Source organism: Homo sapiens, chromosome 14 (assembly GCF_000001405.40).
Source record: "Homo sapiens chromosome 14, GRCh38.p14 Primary Assembly".
Taxonomy (NCBI): domain Eukaryota; kingdom Metazoa; phylum Chordata; class Mammalia; order Primates; family Hominidae; genus Homo; species Homo sapiens.
In genome coordinates this window covers 92,520,394-92,536,922 of record NC_000014.9, presented here as the reverse complement: position 1 = coordinate 92,536,922, position 16,529 = coordinate 92,520,394, and the positions used below count along the sequence as shown (strand labels likewise).

The 16,529-nt window shown below is 49.4% G+C and overlaps 1 protein-coding gene across 1 annotated transcript in view, besides 6 other annotated features; it reads right to left on the bottom strand.

The window, feature by feature from the left end:
- The window catches only part of RIN3 (Ras and Rab interactor 3), a 175,214-nt gene that overhangs the window by 152,072 nt on the left and 6,613 nt on the right, over positions 1–16,529 (bottom strand). The window lies entirely within an intron of this gene.
- Positions 1,592–1,792: a silencer, noted in NCBI's record as "peak2237 fragment used in MPRA reporter construct". NCBI's record gives its function as "represses an SCP1 promoter by STARR-seq MPRAs in K562 erythroleukemia cells {active_cell/tissue: K562}" and the evidence as "EXISTENCE:reporter gene assay evidence [ECO:0000049][PMID:32103011]".
- Positions 4,782–5,282: an enhancer, noted in NCBI's record as "H3K4me1 hESC enhancer chr14:92997985-92998485 (GRCh37/hg19 assembly coordinates)". NCBI's record gives its function as "activates a minimal SCP1, AML or CMV promoter by ChIP-STARR-seq in primed H9 embryonic stem cells {active_cell/tissue: H9 hESC(primed)}" and the evidence as "EXISTENCE:reporter gene assay evidence [ECO:0000049][PMID:30033119]".
- Positions 5,283–5,783: an enhancer, noted in NCBI's record as "H3K4me1 hESC enhancer chr14:92997484-92997984 (GRCh37/hg19 assembly coordinates)". NCBI's record gives its function as "activates a minimal SCP1, AML or CMV promoter by ChIP-STARR-seq in primed H9 embryonic stem cells {active_cell/tissue: H9 hESC(primed)}" and the evidence as "EXISTENCE:reporter gene assay evidence [ECO:0000049][PMID:30033119]".
- Positions 7,709–8,465: an enhancer, noted in NCBI's record as "H3K4me1 hESC enhancer chr14:92994802-92995558 (GRCh37/hg19 assembly coordinates)". NCBI's record gives its function as "activates a minimal SCP1, AML or CMV promoter by ChIP-STARR-seq in naive H9 embryonic stem cells {active_cell/tissue: H9 hESC(naive)}" and the evidence as "EXISTENCE:reporter gene assay evidence [ECO:0000049][PMID:30033119]".
- Positions 8,466–9,223: an enhancer, noted in NCBI's record as "H3K4me1 hESC enhancer chr14:92994044-92994801 (GRCh37/hg19 assembly coordinates)". NCBI's record gives its function as "activates a minimal SCP1, AML or CMV promoter by ChIP-STARR-seq in primed H9 embryonic stem cells {active_cell/tissue: H9 hESC(primed)}" and the evidence as "EXISTENCE:reporter gene assay evidence [ECO:0000049][PMID:30033119]".
- Positions 11,459–12,282: an enhancer, noted in NCBI's record as "H3K27ac-H3K4me1 hESC enhancer chr14:92990985-92991808 (GRCh37/hg19 assembly coordinates)". NCBI's record gives its function as "activates a minimal SCP1, AML or CMV promoter by ChIP-STARR-seq in primed H9 embryonic stem cells {active_cell/tissue: H9 hESC(primed)}" and the evidence as "EXISTENCE:reporter gene assay evidence [ECO:0000049][PMID:30033119]".

Below are 16,529 nucleotides of genomic sequence, written 5' to 3'. Positions count from 1 at the left end.
GTTGCTGGTTAACATACATGAACCAATTTAATCCTTTAAAAGAATGCTATAAGGTTACTCGGTTATCATTCCCATTTTAGAGAGGAAGAAACCAAGACATAGTCAGTAGGGCTACAGAATTAGCAACTGGCAGAGCTGGGATATGAACCCCGGCAGTTTCTTTTTTTTTTTTTTTTTTTTCTGAGACGGAGTCTTGCTCTGTCACCAGGCTGGAGTGCAGTGGCGCGATCTCAGCTCACAGCAACCTCCACCTCCCGGGTTCAAGTGATTCTCCTGCTTCAGCCTCCTGAGTAGCTGGGACTACAGGCGCCCACCACCATGCCTAGCTAATTTTTATAGTTTTAGTAGAGACAGGGTTTCACCATGTTGGCCAGGATGATCTCGATCTCCTGACCTCGTGATCTGCCCAACTCGGCCTCCCAAAGTGCTGGGATTACAGATGTGAGTCACTGCTCCCGGCTGAACCCTGGCAGTTTTTTGAGTCAATAGTCTATGTTTCTAATCACTGCCAAATTCCTACTGATGAGTGCTTATGATATAAACATTACACATCACAGACACACAATAGGCGAATGGAGAGATAGAAGGACAGATCTTGTCCATGGCGTGGAAGACAATACTGTCAAGCTATCAATTCTACACAAACGGTCTACAGCATCAGTGCAATCCCAGTTAGAATCCCAAAGGTGTTGTGTGAAAAGGCAGAGGGAGATGAAAGGGGCTGAGAAGATCCAGGCTGCACTTGAAGAGGGGGTATTAGTTGTTCTGCAGGATATCAAGGCTTATGATAAAGCCGAAGTGATTAAGATGGTGTGACATTACTGCAGGGACAGACACACAGGTCAGTGGAACAGAAAAGTCCAGAAATAGAGCCGCACATTTACAGTCACCTGATTTCTGCACAGCCGCAATAGTAGCACATGAGGAAAGGACAGTCTTGTCAATAAAGGGTGTTGAACAACTGGGTATCCAACTGAGGGAAAAATGAAGCCTGGTCCCTTCTTCACAACTTAAAAAATCAGTTCCAGCCTGACCAACATGGTGAAACCCAGTCTCTACTAAAAAATACAAAAAAAAAAAAGTAGCCAGGCGTGGTGGCACATGCCTATAATCCCAGCTACTCAGGAGGCTGAGGCAGGAGAATCGCTTGAACCCGGGAGACGGAGGTTGCAGTGAGCCAAGGTCACGCCACTGAAATCCAGCCTAGGCGACAGAGCAAGACTCTGTCTAAAAAAAAAAAAAAAAAAAAAAAAGTCTGTTCCAGGTAGACTGTGTCCTAATTTAAAAGGTGGAAGGTAAAACAAAAAAGCTTCTAGAAGAAAGTAAAGAATGTCTTCGTAATCTGATGGTCGAGAGACTTCTTAAACAGTATGCACGTGCGTGCACGCACACACCCACACCCGCCAATCTTAAAAGAAAGGACTGATAAAATTGAATGCAGTAAAACAAAGACTTCCTGTTCATCAAGACATCATTAGGAGAATGAAAGCTCGCCCGGGAGGTGGAGGCTGCAGTGAGCCAAGATCACACCACTGCACTCCAGTCTGGGCGACAGAGCGAGAACCTGCCTCAAAAAAAAAAAAAAAAAGAAAGAAAGAAAAGAAAAAAAAGAATGAAAGCACAAGCCCTGAGTGGGAGAAGATATTTTTACACACACACCCAACAAAGGGCTCATAAGCACAGTGTACACACCGATAAGGAAAAGACCAGACAATGAATAGGGAAATAAGCAAGAAGCTTGACCTGGCGCTTCTTACTGTGGATCTCCACATGGCTGTGAGCATGTGAAAAGATTCTCAACAGCGTGAGGATCGGGGAATCGTAAATTGAACAGTGAGAGCCCATCCCCATGGGTGTCACGATGGAGGCTGACACTACCAAGGCCTGGGGAGGATGAGGAAGAACCGGAGCTCTCCTATTCTGCAGGTGTGAGTGGAAACTGAAACAACTGTGGCAATTCATCCTGAGATGAAGTGATTTCTTTCTCCTTCTTTGCACTTTTCTGTACACTCCAAATTTTACAATAAATGTGTATTATAATGACAATAAAAAAAGTAACAGGTGAACACTTCAGGGGGAACAATAAAAATGGGAGAATAGACACCCAGGCATGAATCTTCCCAGATCAATGTGCTTGTCAGAGCCTCTCACATACAAGATAGTGGAAGGTGTAGGGATTTGAGAAGACCAGCAGAGACCCCCTGCCTGGCTGCCCCTCAGCTGCCCTGGACAAACTCAGGGGAAGGACCTCTGTCCCTAAGGAACAAACTCATTCCAACCTCTCCACACTTGTCCATATACTTTCTTTCTTTCTTTCTTTTTGTTTTTTTTTTTTGAGATGGAGTCTCACTCTGTCACCCAGGCTGGAGTGCAGTGGCACGATCTTGGCTCACTGCAACACTGCAACCTCTGCCTCCCAGGTTCAAGCGATTCTCCTGCCTCAGCCTCCTGAGTAGCCGGGATTACAGGTGCCTGACACCATGCCCAGCTAATTTTTGTATTTTTAGTAGAGACGGGGTTTCACCGTGATGGCCAGGCTGGTTTCGAACTCCTGACCTCAAGTGATCCGCCCACCTCAGCCTCCCAAAGTTTTAGGATTATAGGCGTGAGCCACCACGCCCAGCCCCATTTACTTTCTATGAGCCTAAGTTTCCCCATCTGTAAAAAAAAAAAAAAAAAAAAATGACATGACTCAAAGGATATTTTTTTTTAATGGGGAACATCAGTCTCATACCCATAGGGCTGAGATGCTGGGCAGATCAGATATAATCATTTTGTGGAGGGGTTTTATAAACTCAAGAAGGCTATCTCTATGGATGGCCACACATATATAAATATATATAAAAGAAGTCCAAAGAACCAAACTGATTCCAAACAGTATTTTTGGCTGGTGGGGTTTTCCTAGCTTCTGGTCTAGCCAGTGCTATCCAATAGAATTTTGTCATTGCTGGAAATTCTCTTTACCTGTATCATCCAGTATGGTCACCACAAGCCATATGTGGTTATTAAACACTTGAAATGAGGCTACTGCCACATTTTAAAACAAAATTTTTATTTCCGTAAGTTTTTGGGGAACAAGTGGTATTTGGTTACCTGAGTAAGTTATTTAGTGGTGATTTCTGAGATTTTGGTACACCCATCACCTGAGCAGTATACGCTGTACCCAATTTGTAGCCTTTTATTCCTCACTCCCCTCCCACCCTTTCCCCTAAGTCCCCAGAGTCCATTGTATTATTCTTATGCCTTTGCATCCTCATAGCTTAGTTCCCACTTAGGAGTGAGAACATATGATGTTTGGTTTTCCATCCCTGAGTTACTTCACTTAGAATAATGGTCTCCAGTTCCATCCAGGTTGCTGCGAATGCCATTAATTCACTCCTTTTTATTGCTGAGTAGTATTTCATCATATATATAGAGAGAGACCACAATTTCTTTATCTACTTATTGACTGATGGGCATTTGGGCTGGTTCCATATTTTTGCAATTGTGAATTTTGCTGCCATAAACATGCGTGTGCAAGTATCTTTTTTGTATAATGACTTCTCTTCCTCTGGGTAGATACTCAGTAGTGGAACTGCTGGATCAAATGGTAGTTCTACTTTTAGTTCTTTAAGGAATCTGCACACTGTTTTCCATAATGGTTGTGCTACTGACACATTTTAATTAATTTAACTTGTAAAATAGCTACATGTGACTAGTGGCTATCACACTGGACAATGCTGATCTAGACTTTTCTAAAGTTTACATCTTTTCAGTGTATATGTGAATTCGTGTGTTATTTGTGGGATTTGTTTTCAAATAGAAGGAAAAAAGAAATAAAGAGGAAAACTATATGCATGTTGAGTGTTGTTAGTACCTTTGGCCACCACCCTGTTTGGAAAGTTCTTCTGGAAAGCAAATCCAGTCCTGTGCCATCTGTTGCAGTGTTTGCCGGCCCCTCCTCCTGGGAGCTTCCACGGGAGGCTGGTACATGTCAAGGCCACTTCCTGGACCAGGTCTTTGCCTGAGATGAGCCTCCTGAGTCTCGTCCCCTCCAAGCTCCCCGGCTTTCAAGAGCCTCCCAACTCCCATGCCCACTTCCCTTTGGCTGCCTTCTCCTACCCAGGGATGGACCAGGCTGGGAAAATGAGCAAGAGGGCAGGAATCTCAGACGGCTCTGAGGAGACCACCCTTCCTCTAAGAGTACCTGCAACCTGTGGCAGCCCATACATTCCACCGTGGCCCCGTGACCCCCGCCTCTGTCCTGCCTGCTGCTTACTCAGCAGTTCCTCATCATCTGGGGTTGAGTGGGGGACGTTAGGGAGGAGATGGCAGCCTCCCCCTCCCCTGCTGAGGCTGAGAAGGGAGAGGGAGAGGGGAGGAGTTGCACCATGGTAAATAACTTCCCCCAGAAGGGGAGACAAGGAGCCTGGGTGCCCTGCCTTCCACTCTGAGGCTGGCCTTTCAGTGTCTAAAATGAGATGACCCCATGGGATTAGTTGTGAGGACCAGAAGGACTAAGGCATCTAGAGCTTAACAATGGCTCAATAAAGAGTGGCTGTGGACATTACTCATCCTGGGCAGCTCTGGGTGGTGCAGAAAACCCTGTATCCTGGAAAGTTATCTGGGGTCTATTCTAGCCTGTTGCTGTTAGCTTGCTGTGTGACCTTAAGCAAGTCTCCCTCCCTCTTTAAGCCTAGGTTCTCCTAGCAGTAAGATAAGAGAAGGGAGTCACGCCTGTAATCCCAGCACTTTGGGAGGCCAAAGCAGGTGGACCACTTGAGGTCAAGAGTTCAAGAATAGCCCGGCCAACATGGTGAAACCTCATCTCTACTAAAAATACAAAAATGAGCCTGGCATGCTGGCATGCGCCTGTAGTCCCAGCTACTCAGGAGGCCGAGGCAGGAGAATCGCTTGAACCCAGGAGGCGGAGGTTGCAGCGAGCCGAGATCACACCACTGCACTCCAGCCTGGGCTACAGAGTGAGACTCAGTCTCAAAAAAAAAAAAAAGATAAGAGATGGGAGACTTGCCTCCACTTACTTCATGGGCTTACTGGGGGGAGGGGTTTAAAATAACTAGGGGGGCGAGAGTTGTGCTTTGGCAGAGTGAACCACTGTTTCTACGCTAGGGAGGAGGTCAGAACGCACTGCAGGTTCTCCATAGCTGCCCTTCCACGGGCACTGCCAGTGTCGTGAGGGTGCAGGCCAAGGATAGCAGCCCTGACACGCCCATTGCAGGAAACTACACAGCGTCACATTGCTCCCACCCCCTGGTGACACTGAGTCACCCTGCAACCCACCTAACAGTTGCTGTGACCACATTTCCTCTGCTGGGGAATAAGCGTATCATGTGCCCACCCCAGGCCGACTACAGTCCTGACGCTTCTTGACAGGGGCCGCCTGCCAGGCCCAGGTGCCCTTGCAAAGCCAAGTGGATTCCGCACCCCCAGCTAGAAATTCTACCACCAGGTTTTTGTTCCCTGTTAACATTTATGTCCACCTGCCCCCATCAGATTTTAAAGCATGCAAAGTCCCTTGTGCTAAGGCATGAAGTCGCTGTGGGTGAGTTTTCAAGAGTGAGAGGTTAGAGGAAGCTGAGGACACTGGCTGTCATAGACTGAATGTTTGTGTGCCCTGAGAGGATTGGATTTCAACACATACATTTTGTGGGGACACAGACATTCCATCTATGACAGGGTTTGGTGTCTAGTGACTGGACCCCGCCAGACACAGAATCTGCTGCTGCCTTCATCTTGGACTTCCCAGCCTCCAGAGCCACTGTTTGTAAGCCACCCCATCGGTGCTATTTTGTTACAGTAGCCCAAGCTGACGAAGACACTGGTGAATTTACTTTGGGGACAATAGGGAGAAAATGAGGAGGTAAGATGCTGTAAGGAGGAGTCCTGAGGCATGACAGGCACACCCATCCCACCCAGGTTACAATGACCCCCAAAGACTCCGAAGACAGTGACTGTAGGGTGGGACTTTGCCAGCAGATGACAAGACAGAGATTGGTGGGTGGGGCTGGATGCACCTTTCTGTGCCTCCCAGGTTCTTCACCTGGGTTGTCCACATAGAACCAACTTGGGGAGAAGATAGGGAGGTCATCCCCTCAGTGGGGCTTGGAAGGTTGCAGAGGTTCCAGCAGCATCCCTTCCAGGATCCAGGCACACGTGGATGTAGAAAAGGCAGTAGGGCCCCAGAACCTTGGGATAAAGCACGGAGATGCAGGGAGTTCAGGGGCTAGGGCAGAGGCTCTGGACTCAGAGAAACCTGGGTTCAGGTGGCTGAATCCACCGAGAAGTGGCCACAGCTCTGCTATTGCTAAGAGCTTTGATCAAGTGATTTGCTGTGCCTCAGTTTCCTCGCCTGTAAACTGGGCAATGCAGTCTCAGCCTCAGGGGGCTATGACTATTAACTGATAAACAAAACAAAACAACAAAAACTCGACCCTGAGTAAATGCTCCAGACATAATCGCTGCAATTAGTAGTGTCAAATCTGTGAAAGTGAAAAATCCCTGCTTTTTATTTGCCTTGATTGATACACTACTCCCTACAAGAGTCTTTCTGTTAGAAGCACAGAAAATAAAATATTAGCATTGACCACTACCTTTCTTGGAAACTGTCCTTTCGAACACTTCAATGTCACTGAAGGTGAGAGGGGACCAAGGCCCCAAGACTGGAGGGATAGTGCATATCCCAAGGATTTGTGCATTTTCAGGAAACACCATAGCTAAGACTGGGCACTTCTTAACCCAGAGGCATGAGCTGCTGATGGTAGAAGTGTGCACAGTGCAGGGGAGAGGTTAGGGGAAGATTTATCTACACGAGGAAGATATAGTTGATTCTCATCATTCATTGTGGTTTTGTTTTGTAAAGTCACCATGAACACTGAGCGAATACTGAATCATTGCTCCTAGGGGAAATACAAAGATAGGTTCCTGCAAGCGTCTGGTCACAACATTTTTATCAACCAATCAATACATAACCTTGTTTTATGTGTGTCTCTGTTGAAGGGCACCGAATTAAATATATAATCTTGATTCATTGACACTGAACTCACAGCAACAGAACTAACTCATGCCTGAATAAGGCTTATCTAACACACATATTTTCTCTGTAAGGCACATCACAGCCTTCTTGCACTTAGGAACACGAGGCAGCCCTCGAACACTACGCTTCGGATCCTAAAAAGTGAAACCACCAAAAAAAGCATGAAAATGAGAAAACATGACACAAAATCGACCTCGACAAGGACACTTGTTTGCAGCACAGGAGCTGAAGGGAAACAGAGTGTCGCCCTGTTCAACCTCAGCTGGGAATGTGCCCGCCGGACAACTGGAATATTTCATCACTCTGCCTATGTCCTTGAATGACTTCAAAAGTGTTGATCTGGGCTGGGTGCGGTGGCTCACGCCTGTAATCCCAGCACTTTGGGAGGCCGAGGTGGGCGGATCACGAGGTCAGGAGTTCAAGACCAGTCTGGCCAACATAGTGAAACCCCGTCTCTACTAAAAATACAAAAAATTAGCCGGGCGTGGTGGCACGCGCCTGTAATCCCAGCTACTTGGGAGGCTGAGGCAGGAGAATCGTGTGAAATGGGGAGGTGGAGGTTGCAGTGAGCCGAGATCACACCACTGCACTCCAGCCCAGGTGACAGTGCGAGACTCCATCTCAAAAAAAAAAAAAGAAAAAAAAAGGTTGATCTGGGGCTTACAAATGCATTTTAGCAAGTAAGCTGATTTGCAAACACAGAATCTGTGAACAATGAGAATTGACTGTAAGTATCCCTTTGTTAGGCTGGTATCAATCATAGCCAACCTGGATATGAACCCTATCTCAGAGCAGGGGGGTCTCCACCAGCCGGCCTGGATTCTGGGGGCTGCTGTAGCATTTGAACCAGGACCCACTAAACCTCCCTCCTTGGAGCCCAGGCCAGGCACCAGCTTACCATGGGCCGTGTAGCTCAGAGGCTGCTGGGCCATCACCTCTGTCAGCTTCCATCAGAGGCAGAGGACAAATTTTGGAGGAAAAGGGGCTACTTGTGGCAGCTGCATGGGGAGCCTCTGCCAGCCCCAGAACTGGAGTGTGTCCCGCGAACCGCTCACTGAGGCCTCTCCCCATCATGTCATGCACACATCATGAAGCCGCACATTTTCATGCCTGCTGCGAAGTGCCTACTGTGCGGGGCTGCTGTGCTACACACTGCTCACACTCCACCCGGGACACAGTGCAGCCCTGTATCTCCACACTGCATGAATGGAAGAAGCAATGATCGGAGAGGTCTCACAGTAAGCAAGGGCAGACCTGGCGCTGGGGACCTGCCCCCCATTTCCCAGATGATCATGCCGTCCACACCCCCACGGGGTCACAAGAGGCAGTGCAAACTGTGAGTGGAGTGGACAAGGGGGTGTGGAACCAGGGCCCTTCAGAAGACCATGGAAACAACGCCTACTACGTTCTTGACTCTGTTCTAGGTCCTTACATACGTCCACTCATGTAATACACAGCAACTCTGAATTAGAGGCTGTCATTTTACAGATAAGGAAACTGAGGCAGAGAGTGGAACGTCAACCCCAGCAGTTTACTCCAGGGCTCACAGCCCTGACCACCACACCGTACTGTTCTACCACTCAATGTCCACATGTCCAGACAGCTACACTCAGCCACGATGGCCATCTCCCTAGGAGGGAGGCGGTGGGAGGGAATAAAGGCGGCCTCCCCGCCCCCACGGGGCACACCCATCTCCTGCCAGGCTCCATTCACTCAGCCTCCTCAATACACTCCAGTGAGCCCTCCTGTCCCTGAGCCCACCTTTCCCCTCCTTGATGCCGAGGCCTTAGTCCAGGCACCAGCCCTTGCCAGGACCCCCCAGCAGCCCCCTTCCACGCCCCCCTCCCTGAGCTGCCCCCACATCCTTCTTCACATAGCAGCCCAAATGCAAGCCTGCCCGCGTGGCTCCACTATGAAACAATCTACATGCAAACGTTTGTTAGTGCCTGTATTTGTCATCGCCCCAAACTGGAAACCACCCAAACAGGCCTGAGCGGGGAAGGGATAAACACACTGGTAGATCCACACAACGAAATATTCTCAGCGACAAAGAGGAATGGACTCTCGAGTCACACGACAACCCAGGCAGACCTCAAATGCATGTGGCTGAGAAAAAGCCAGGCACATGGTGACACACTGTGATTCCATTCACAGGACGTTCTCGAAACGGCAGAACGTAGGGACGAAGCAGAAACGCGGGGGTCTGCGGAGGAAGAGGTCCTGACTACAAAAGGGCCCAGGGGGCTTTTGGAGGGTGATGGAATTTTCTGTCTTGACTGCAGTGGCAGTTGCATGGCTGTCTGTTTGTCAAAACGTGCAGAAACGTACACTAAAGAGAGTGACTTTTACTCCGTGTAAATTACAGTTTGTTACAGGTCCCATCACATCCCCCCAAAAGATGTAGTCCTATAGCGCCCCAGAAAGTGACCTTATTTGGAAATAGGTTTGTTGCAGATGTAATGCTAAGATGAGGTCCTACTGGAGTAAGCTGGGCCCTAAATCCAAAGCGACTGATGTCCTTATAAGAAAGGGAGAAATGGCCAGGTGCAGTGGCTCACGCCTGTAATCCCAGCACTTTGGGAGGCTGAGACGGGTGGATCATGAGGTCAGGAGATCGAGACCATTGTGGCTAACACGGTGAAACCCCGTCTCTACTAAAAATACAAAAAAAATTAGCCGGGCGTGGTGGCGGGCGCCTGTAGTCCCAGCTACTCAGAAGGCTAAGGCAGGAGAATGGCGTGAACCCAGGAGGCGGAGCTTGCAGTGAGCTGAGATCGTGCCACTGCACTCCAGCCTGGGGGACAGAGCGAGACTCTGTCTCAAAAAAAAAAAAAAAAAAAAAAGATGGGGAGAAACACAGACAGACACAGAGAGAACACAGCCAAGTGACAATGGAGTCCGAGAATGGAGAGGTACAGCCACGAGCCAAGGGACCCCAGGCATTGCCTGGGCCACCAGAAGCTTGAAGGATCCTCCCAGAAGGCCTTTGGAGGGAGAATGGCTGTAACTTGATTTCAGACTTCTGGCCTCCAAGGCTTTGAGAGAATACATTTATATTGTTTTAAGCCACCCAGTTTGTGGCACTTTGTTATGGTAGTCCCAGGACACTGAGACACAGCTCAGTTTTTATTTATTTATGAGACAGAGTCTTGCTCTGTCACCAGCCTGGAGTGCAGTGGCACGATCTTGGCTCACTGCAACCTCTGCCTCCCAGGTTCAAGCGATTTTCCTGCCTCAGCCTCCTGAGTAGCTGGAACTACAGGCACACGCCACCACGCCCAGCTAATTTTTGTATTTTTAGTAGAGACAGGGTTTCACCATGTTGGCCAGGATGGTCTCCATCTCTTGACCTCAAGATCCATCCGTCTTGGCCTCCCAAAGTGCTAGAATTATAGGCTTGAGCCACTGCGCCCGGCCCATTTATTTTTTTTAAGACAGGGTCTCACTCTGTCACTCAGGCTGGAGTGCAGTGGTGTGATCTCAGCTCACTGCAACCTCTGCCTCCCGAGCTCAACTGATCCTGCCGCATCAGCCTCCCAAGTAGCTGGGACTACAGGCATGCACCACCACGCCCAGCTAATTTTAAAAAATTTTTTAGTAGAGACGGGGTTTCGCCATGTTGCCCAGGCTGGTCTCGAACTCCTGAGCTCAAGTGATCCACCTGCCTCGGCCTCCCAAAGTGCTGGGATTACAGGCGTGAACCACCTCGCCCGGGCAATAGCTCAGTTTTTTAAATGGGGTAAAAATTCCTGCCTATAGTCTCCATTGCCTTCAGGATACAGCCCAAGAGCCTCTGCTATCTGGTCACCTCTCCTGTCCGTCCAGAAGATTGTCAATGACAGGCACACGGAGCCTGCAGCAGCCCCTCCACCCCCACCACGAGTTTACCTGGGAAACTCCCAGGCATGGCTTTGTGTGGCTCTCATGCCGCAGGAAAAGTTTCCCCAGATGCCACCCCAGTCTGAGCAGGATGCCCTTCAGCCAGCCAGGGACCCCCGGCACTCCATAGGACCATCCTGCACCCTGTGGCCACAGCACTGCCTATCACTCCTGCGTCCCCACAAGACTGAGGGTCCCTGGGACAAGGATGGGTGATCACATTCTGGCTGGTGCAGTGCCATGCAGGCCACAGCGGGGCTCCAGGGCCTGACGCTGCCTGAGAGTCTATGGCTGAGGGGAATTGGGGGCTTTGGCACCTCCCCAACACTGTGGCCGACCCTGCACTGTTCCTGTGGCTGGACCCTCTCCCTTGGCGGCCCACCCTGTTTCTCAGATGTTCACAGCTCACAGTCCCCTCCACCCTGGCAGGCCTCCTAGTGGGCCCCATTCCCTCTCCCAGAGGCCCTCTGTCCTGGGCACTTCCCTTTCACCCCCCTCTTTGGCATCAACACACCATATATTAACTCAGCAAACACTTACCGAGCCCTGCACTAGATCCTCCTTCCCTCCCCTCAATCTCTCGCTCAGCACCAGTGTTCTTGGTGGAGCATTCTGTGCCCTTTATGGTGCTGACCTGGCAATACCATCCCCCCACACCCTGCCAGGAAGAGCCACTGTCCCTGCTGGTGGGAGCTTACAGTCTAGTGGGGCTACACACAGAATGAGCTGCCACAGGCATCAGGGGCGAGCGCCCATTGTGCTGCCGGCTCTTCTGTGGCTGGGGTCCTTGGTAGCCTGTAGGGTGCCTCTGCATAAATTAGAAGAGGGTGCTCCTTGCTGCCCATGGGTGCAGGCCAACCCCCACCCCACCCCCATACACACCTACCATGACACAAGGCTTGGCAAGAGAATGAAAGTTCAGCCCCTACCCAGCTTTGCCTCAGCCAGGAACACGTGAGCAGTAAACAACCTGCGCAACGGTGTACAGCGGCCCTGCAGGCCTCACACAGCCTGGGAGGCTTCTTGCAAGAGGTAGAGGTGGGACACTTGCACTTAGGCCCAGAGGCAGGAAAGAGCTCAGCCCCTTCCAGAGGCTAGAGAGGGAGGCAGCTAGTGAAGGCAGATGTGCCCACATTCCATCTCTGGGGCCTCGTGCCATGGAGCGGCCTGGGTGCTGCACAAGCCTTGGAGACAGCCTTGGTTGGAGACAGCCCACAGGTCCGGAGACCCTGGGGAAACCACTTCCCCTCTCTGAGCCACCAATTCATCTGCAAGCAGGGGCTGGATGAAGAGTTTCCAGAGTGGCACGAAGCTCTGACGCCTGAGGACTGCAGAGCTAGGGCTGGGGAAGCCTTGCCCAGTGGAAACAAGACCCTCACTGTCCTTCAGGCCACTTCAACGGGCTCTGGCCCAGCTCCTCCAGACAGCCCACCCAGCTAAATCCCAGGCCATTCTTGGGGCCTCTTATGCCCCAGGAGTGGTCTTAGGCTGTTGTTGAGCAGCTCCAGGCAGGCTCTTACAGGCTCAGAACAGGCCTGTGCTGTCCCTGGAAAGGGGAATTCAAGTCCAGCAGTTTCAGGACAAACCTTTCCCAAGGCTAGGCAAAGAGGTGAAGTGGCCACTGAAGACTCCCAGTGGCCAGTGGTCAGCATAAAACAAGCTTGACACTCAGCAAGTGCCAAGATACGGCCCAAGAGACCCCAAGACTGTTTCAACGAAGAGACAGTGAATGAATGAGTGACGGCAGCATCCGGCAAGAACACAGGCATTGTTGAAACTGGGCCCCGGGTCTTTATTTTCGTTTAGTTTTTTGGATACAGACAGGATCTCACTCTGTCACCCAGGCCGAAGTGCAGTGGTGTGATCACAGCTCACTGTAACCTTGAACTCCAGGGCTCGAGAGATCCCCCTGCCTCAGCCTCCCGAGTAGCTGTGACTACAAGTGCACACCACCATGCCCAGCTCATTTATAAAATTTTTTGTAGAGACGGGGTCTTGCTGTGTTGCCCAGTCTGGTCTTGAATTCCTGGCCTCAAGAGATCCTCCCACCTCAGCCTCCCAAAGCACTGGGATTACAGGCATGAGCCACTGCACCCGGTCTCCAGGCCTTTCTTGTGCTGGTGTGGCGGGGACACCAACTCTCAGGAGGAGCTGGAGAACACTGGCATGGGGAGGGTTAACCTAGGCGAGTTCTCAGCCTAAAGCACAGAACTGAGGCTGGGGGAAGAGGCATGGCTGCCTTGAGCAGCAAACCTAGCCCTGTCAAAGCACAAGGATTTGAGAGTCAGAATAAACAGTTCAAAGCTTCTGGCAAAATCTAAAACTCATAAACACTTAATATGAAAAAAAAATGTTTGCAATCTAGTCCTTGAAACAAGAGCCTTAGTGGATGCAAAGCTGCCTCTTCTCTCTCCCCTCTCTTCCTCCTTCTTGCCTCCACTAGGAAATGGGGACTTGCAGGTCGCCCTGCAAAGCAGCTGAGTACTTCGGGCATATAATCTGGTGCTATGTGACAGAGATAGAAAGCTCTCTGTGTTCATTAGAACTAAGCTTGTAAGTGATAGAAAATCTAAAATAAGAAATTAAAACAAGATAGTATGGCTAGGCACGGTGGCTCACGCCTGTAATCCCAGCACTTTGGGAGGCCAGGATGGGTGGATCACCTGAGGACAGGAGTTCAAGACCAGCCTGGCCAACATGGTGAAACCCCCGTCTCTACTAAAAATACAAAAACTAGCCAAGAGTGGTGGCAGGCACCTGTAATCCCAGCTACTCGGAAGGCTGAGGCAGGAGAATTGCTTGAACCCAGGAGGCAGAGGTTGCAGTGAGCCAAGATCGCCACTGCACTCCAGCCTGGGTGACAAGAGCAAAACTACATCTCAAAAATAAAATAAAATAAAACAAACAAACAAGATAGTATGTATTCCTCTCATAAAAAACTGGTAAGCAGTCTGTAGCTGGGATGATGGTCTGACATGTTTGGGACCCTTACTATAATATATTGTTGTTCTATCCTGCATAGCTTCTATGCTTAAGTTTGTCTCAGAGTCCAAGATGGCCACTTCAACTCCAGCCATCACATCTGTATTTCAGGCAACAGGAGAGAGGAAAGGAGAGAAGGACACCCCCATTAAGGGGTTCTCCAAGCAAATTATACTCCCCACTTATATCTCACTGTCCTGAACTTAGTCATATGGCCACACCTAGCTGCAAGAAAATTGGGAAATGTTCAGCTAAAACTTACACCCAGCAAAAATTCAGGGGCCAATCAGCAGGCTCTGCTTCACTCTTGGACTCAAAGGCTCCAGGATGGTGACAGATCTCAAGGAAATGGTCCCTAAACCCTAGATCCACAGAAGTTTTCAGGAGTTTCATTTAAAACAGAGGGGACTTGGAAAGAAGTCAAGATAGACACATGAAATAACTCTGACCATTAAAATGATCATAATATGATGACACCATCGAAGATGGCAGGTAGGCAACATAGGTCCACAACACAGCACACAGGAATGTGTACCAGAGGTAACACTCAGTGAAAAAAGAATACAAGGTAACACGTACTTGCACCGGGTGATAAAAATGTTTGATGCTTTAAATTTCCCTGTTTTGGGTGTGTCTGTGTATGAACTTTTAAAGTCTATAATACATTTTTTGGAAAATCAATAGCACATGCACACACACACACACACACCACATACATACAGGTGAGAGCCCCCCACCGGTCTCACAACCCAAAGAGACAAGAACATCATCATCTCAGGTAACCCTGGCAACAACAGTGGGCTATAGAGATTGACTTTTACCTAACAGAGGAGGGGGAAGAAGGTGCTCTGGCAGGTTCTGTTTCAGTGTCTTGCCCGGAAGAACAGAACTGTGGTCTTCACCACCATGGTAAAAGTCAAACTTGCCCACCCATAGCCAAGGGGGCCCCAACCACCTTTCCAGGCCCATCACACATGGAATCTTCTCTCTGCCCCCACCCCAGATTCTTAGGGCTCCCACACACAACTTGTCCTTTCCCACTCGGTGCGTTTCTCCTATCTGCAATACGCTTCTCTGCATATGCTTGATTTCAGTGGTTAAAATCCTACGTATCTTTCAAGATCCAATTCACATGCCAGCTCTGTCAAGGAGTCCTCCCTACTCACTCTGCACAGCCAACTGTAACAGAAGTTCGGCAGCTTTTTATACAGTACCCTGTGCTTTAAATACGCACATATTTCTCTTATTTTCTGTGTTGGTCCATTTTGCCTCACTATAAAGGAATACCTGAGGCTGGGTAATTTACAAAGAAAAGAGGTTTATTTTGGCTCATGGTTCTGCAGGCTGTATGAGAAGTATGGTGCCAGCATCTACTCCTGGTGAGGCTCAGGAAGCCTCCAATCATGGTGGAAGGGGAAGGGGGAGCAGGTATGTCACATGGCGAGAAAGGCAGCAAGAGGGAGAGAGCAGGGAGGTGCCAGGCTCTTGTAAACAACCAGATCTCATGTGAACTGAGAACTCACTCATTACTGTGAGGATGGCACCAAGTCATTCATGATGGATCTGCCCCCATGACCCTAACACCTCCCACCAGGCCCTACCTCCAACACTGGGGATCACATTTCAACATGAGATTTGGAGGGGACAAACATCCAAATCAAATCATTTTCCTTAGTAGATAAACTGGAAACTCCTAGGTGTTCAGGTGCTCAGTAAATAGATGGATTGATAGATGGAAGGATGGAAGGGTAGGTGAGTGGATGGATGGATGGATGCATGGATGGATAGATAAATGGATGGATAGAAGCGTGGGAGGGTGGATAGGTCGATGGGTGGATAGGTGGATGGATGGATGAAGGGTGGGTTGATGGGTGGATGTATGGATGGATGGGTGGATAAGTAGATGGCTAGATGGATGGATGGTGAATAGAATGGACAGGTGGATGTCTGGATGATGATTAGGAGGATGGGTGAAGATAAATGAGAAGATATCCATTGCGAGAAGAGTCCTTGAGTATAGTTTAGATGGATGCTCCGTCAAAAATGTCAAGAACAGAAAGAAGCAACGATAATAAATGCTGTCACCAGATGCCATCGGTAGAGAGATAAGTCCTTGCTTTGAACTGCAACATCCCTAGAGAAATTTACATTATCAATCTCTGACATTGACTGAGATTAAGGAAGCTGGGAACATGGAGGTTAGGGGAAAAGGTCCCCGGTGACTCTTTCTTGACAGCTTGTTCCCTGTAGCCAGAGATCATCAGATTGTGAATTTCAGATGCAAAGCCCTTTATTTCTTCAGTCCGTGAAGATGGGTGAAGAAGCACACTTACTGACTCACAGAACAATTTAGCTCTGGGAAACTTTGGAGGAGGGGAAGGCTTCTCTGCTACTGTTGGGGTGCCCTCTGTCCACCCCTCTCTCCAGCTTATCTTTCAGAGAACAGGCTTTCGCATCAGTGCCTGACACCCCGTGTTAAATGTCAGTCGGGAGGTAGGGTGGCGCATCTCTTAACTAGGGAATAAAAAGTTCTCAGCTTTGCTAAACGTCCCAGAGTCAGTAGCAAAATGGAGGCCACCTTCACAGGGGAGTATCCTCTAGGAGAGCCCCCCTAGGGCAGCCCCTCGAGGATGGG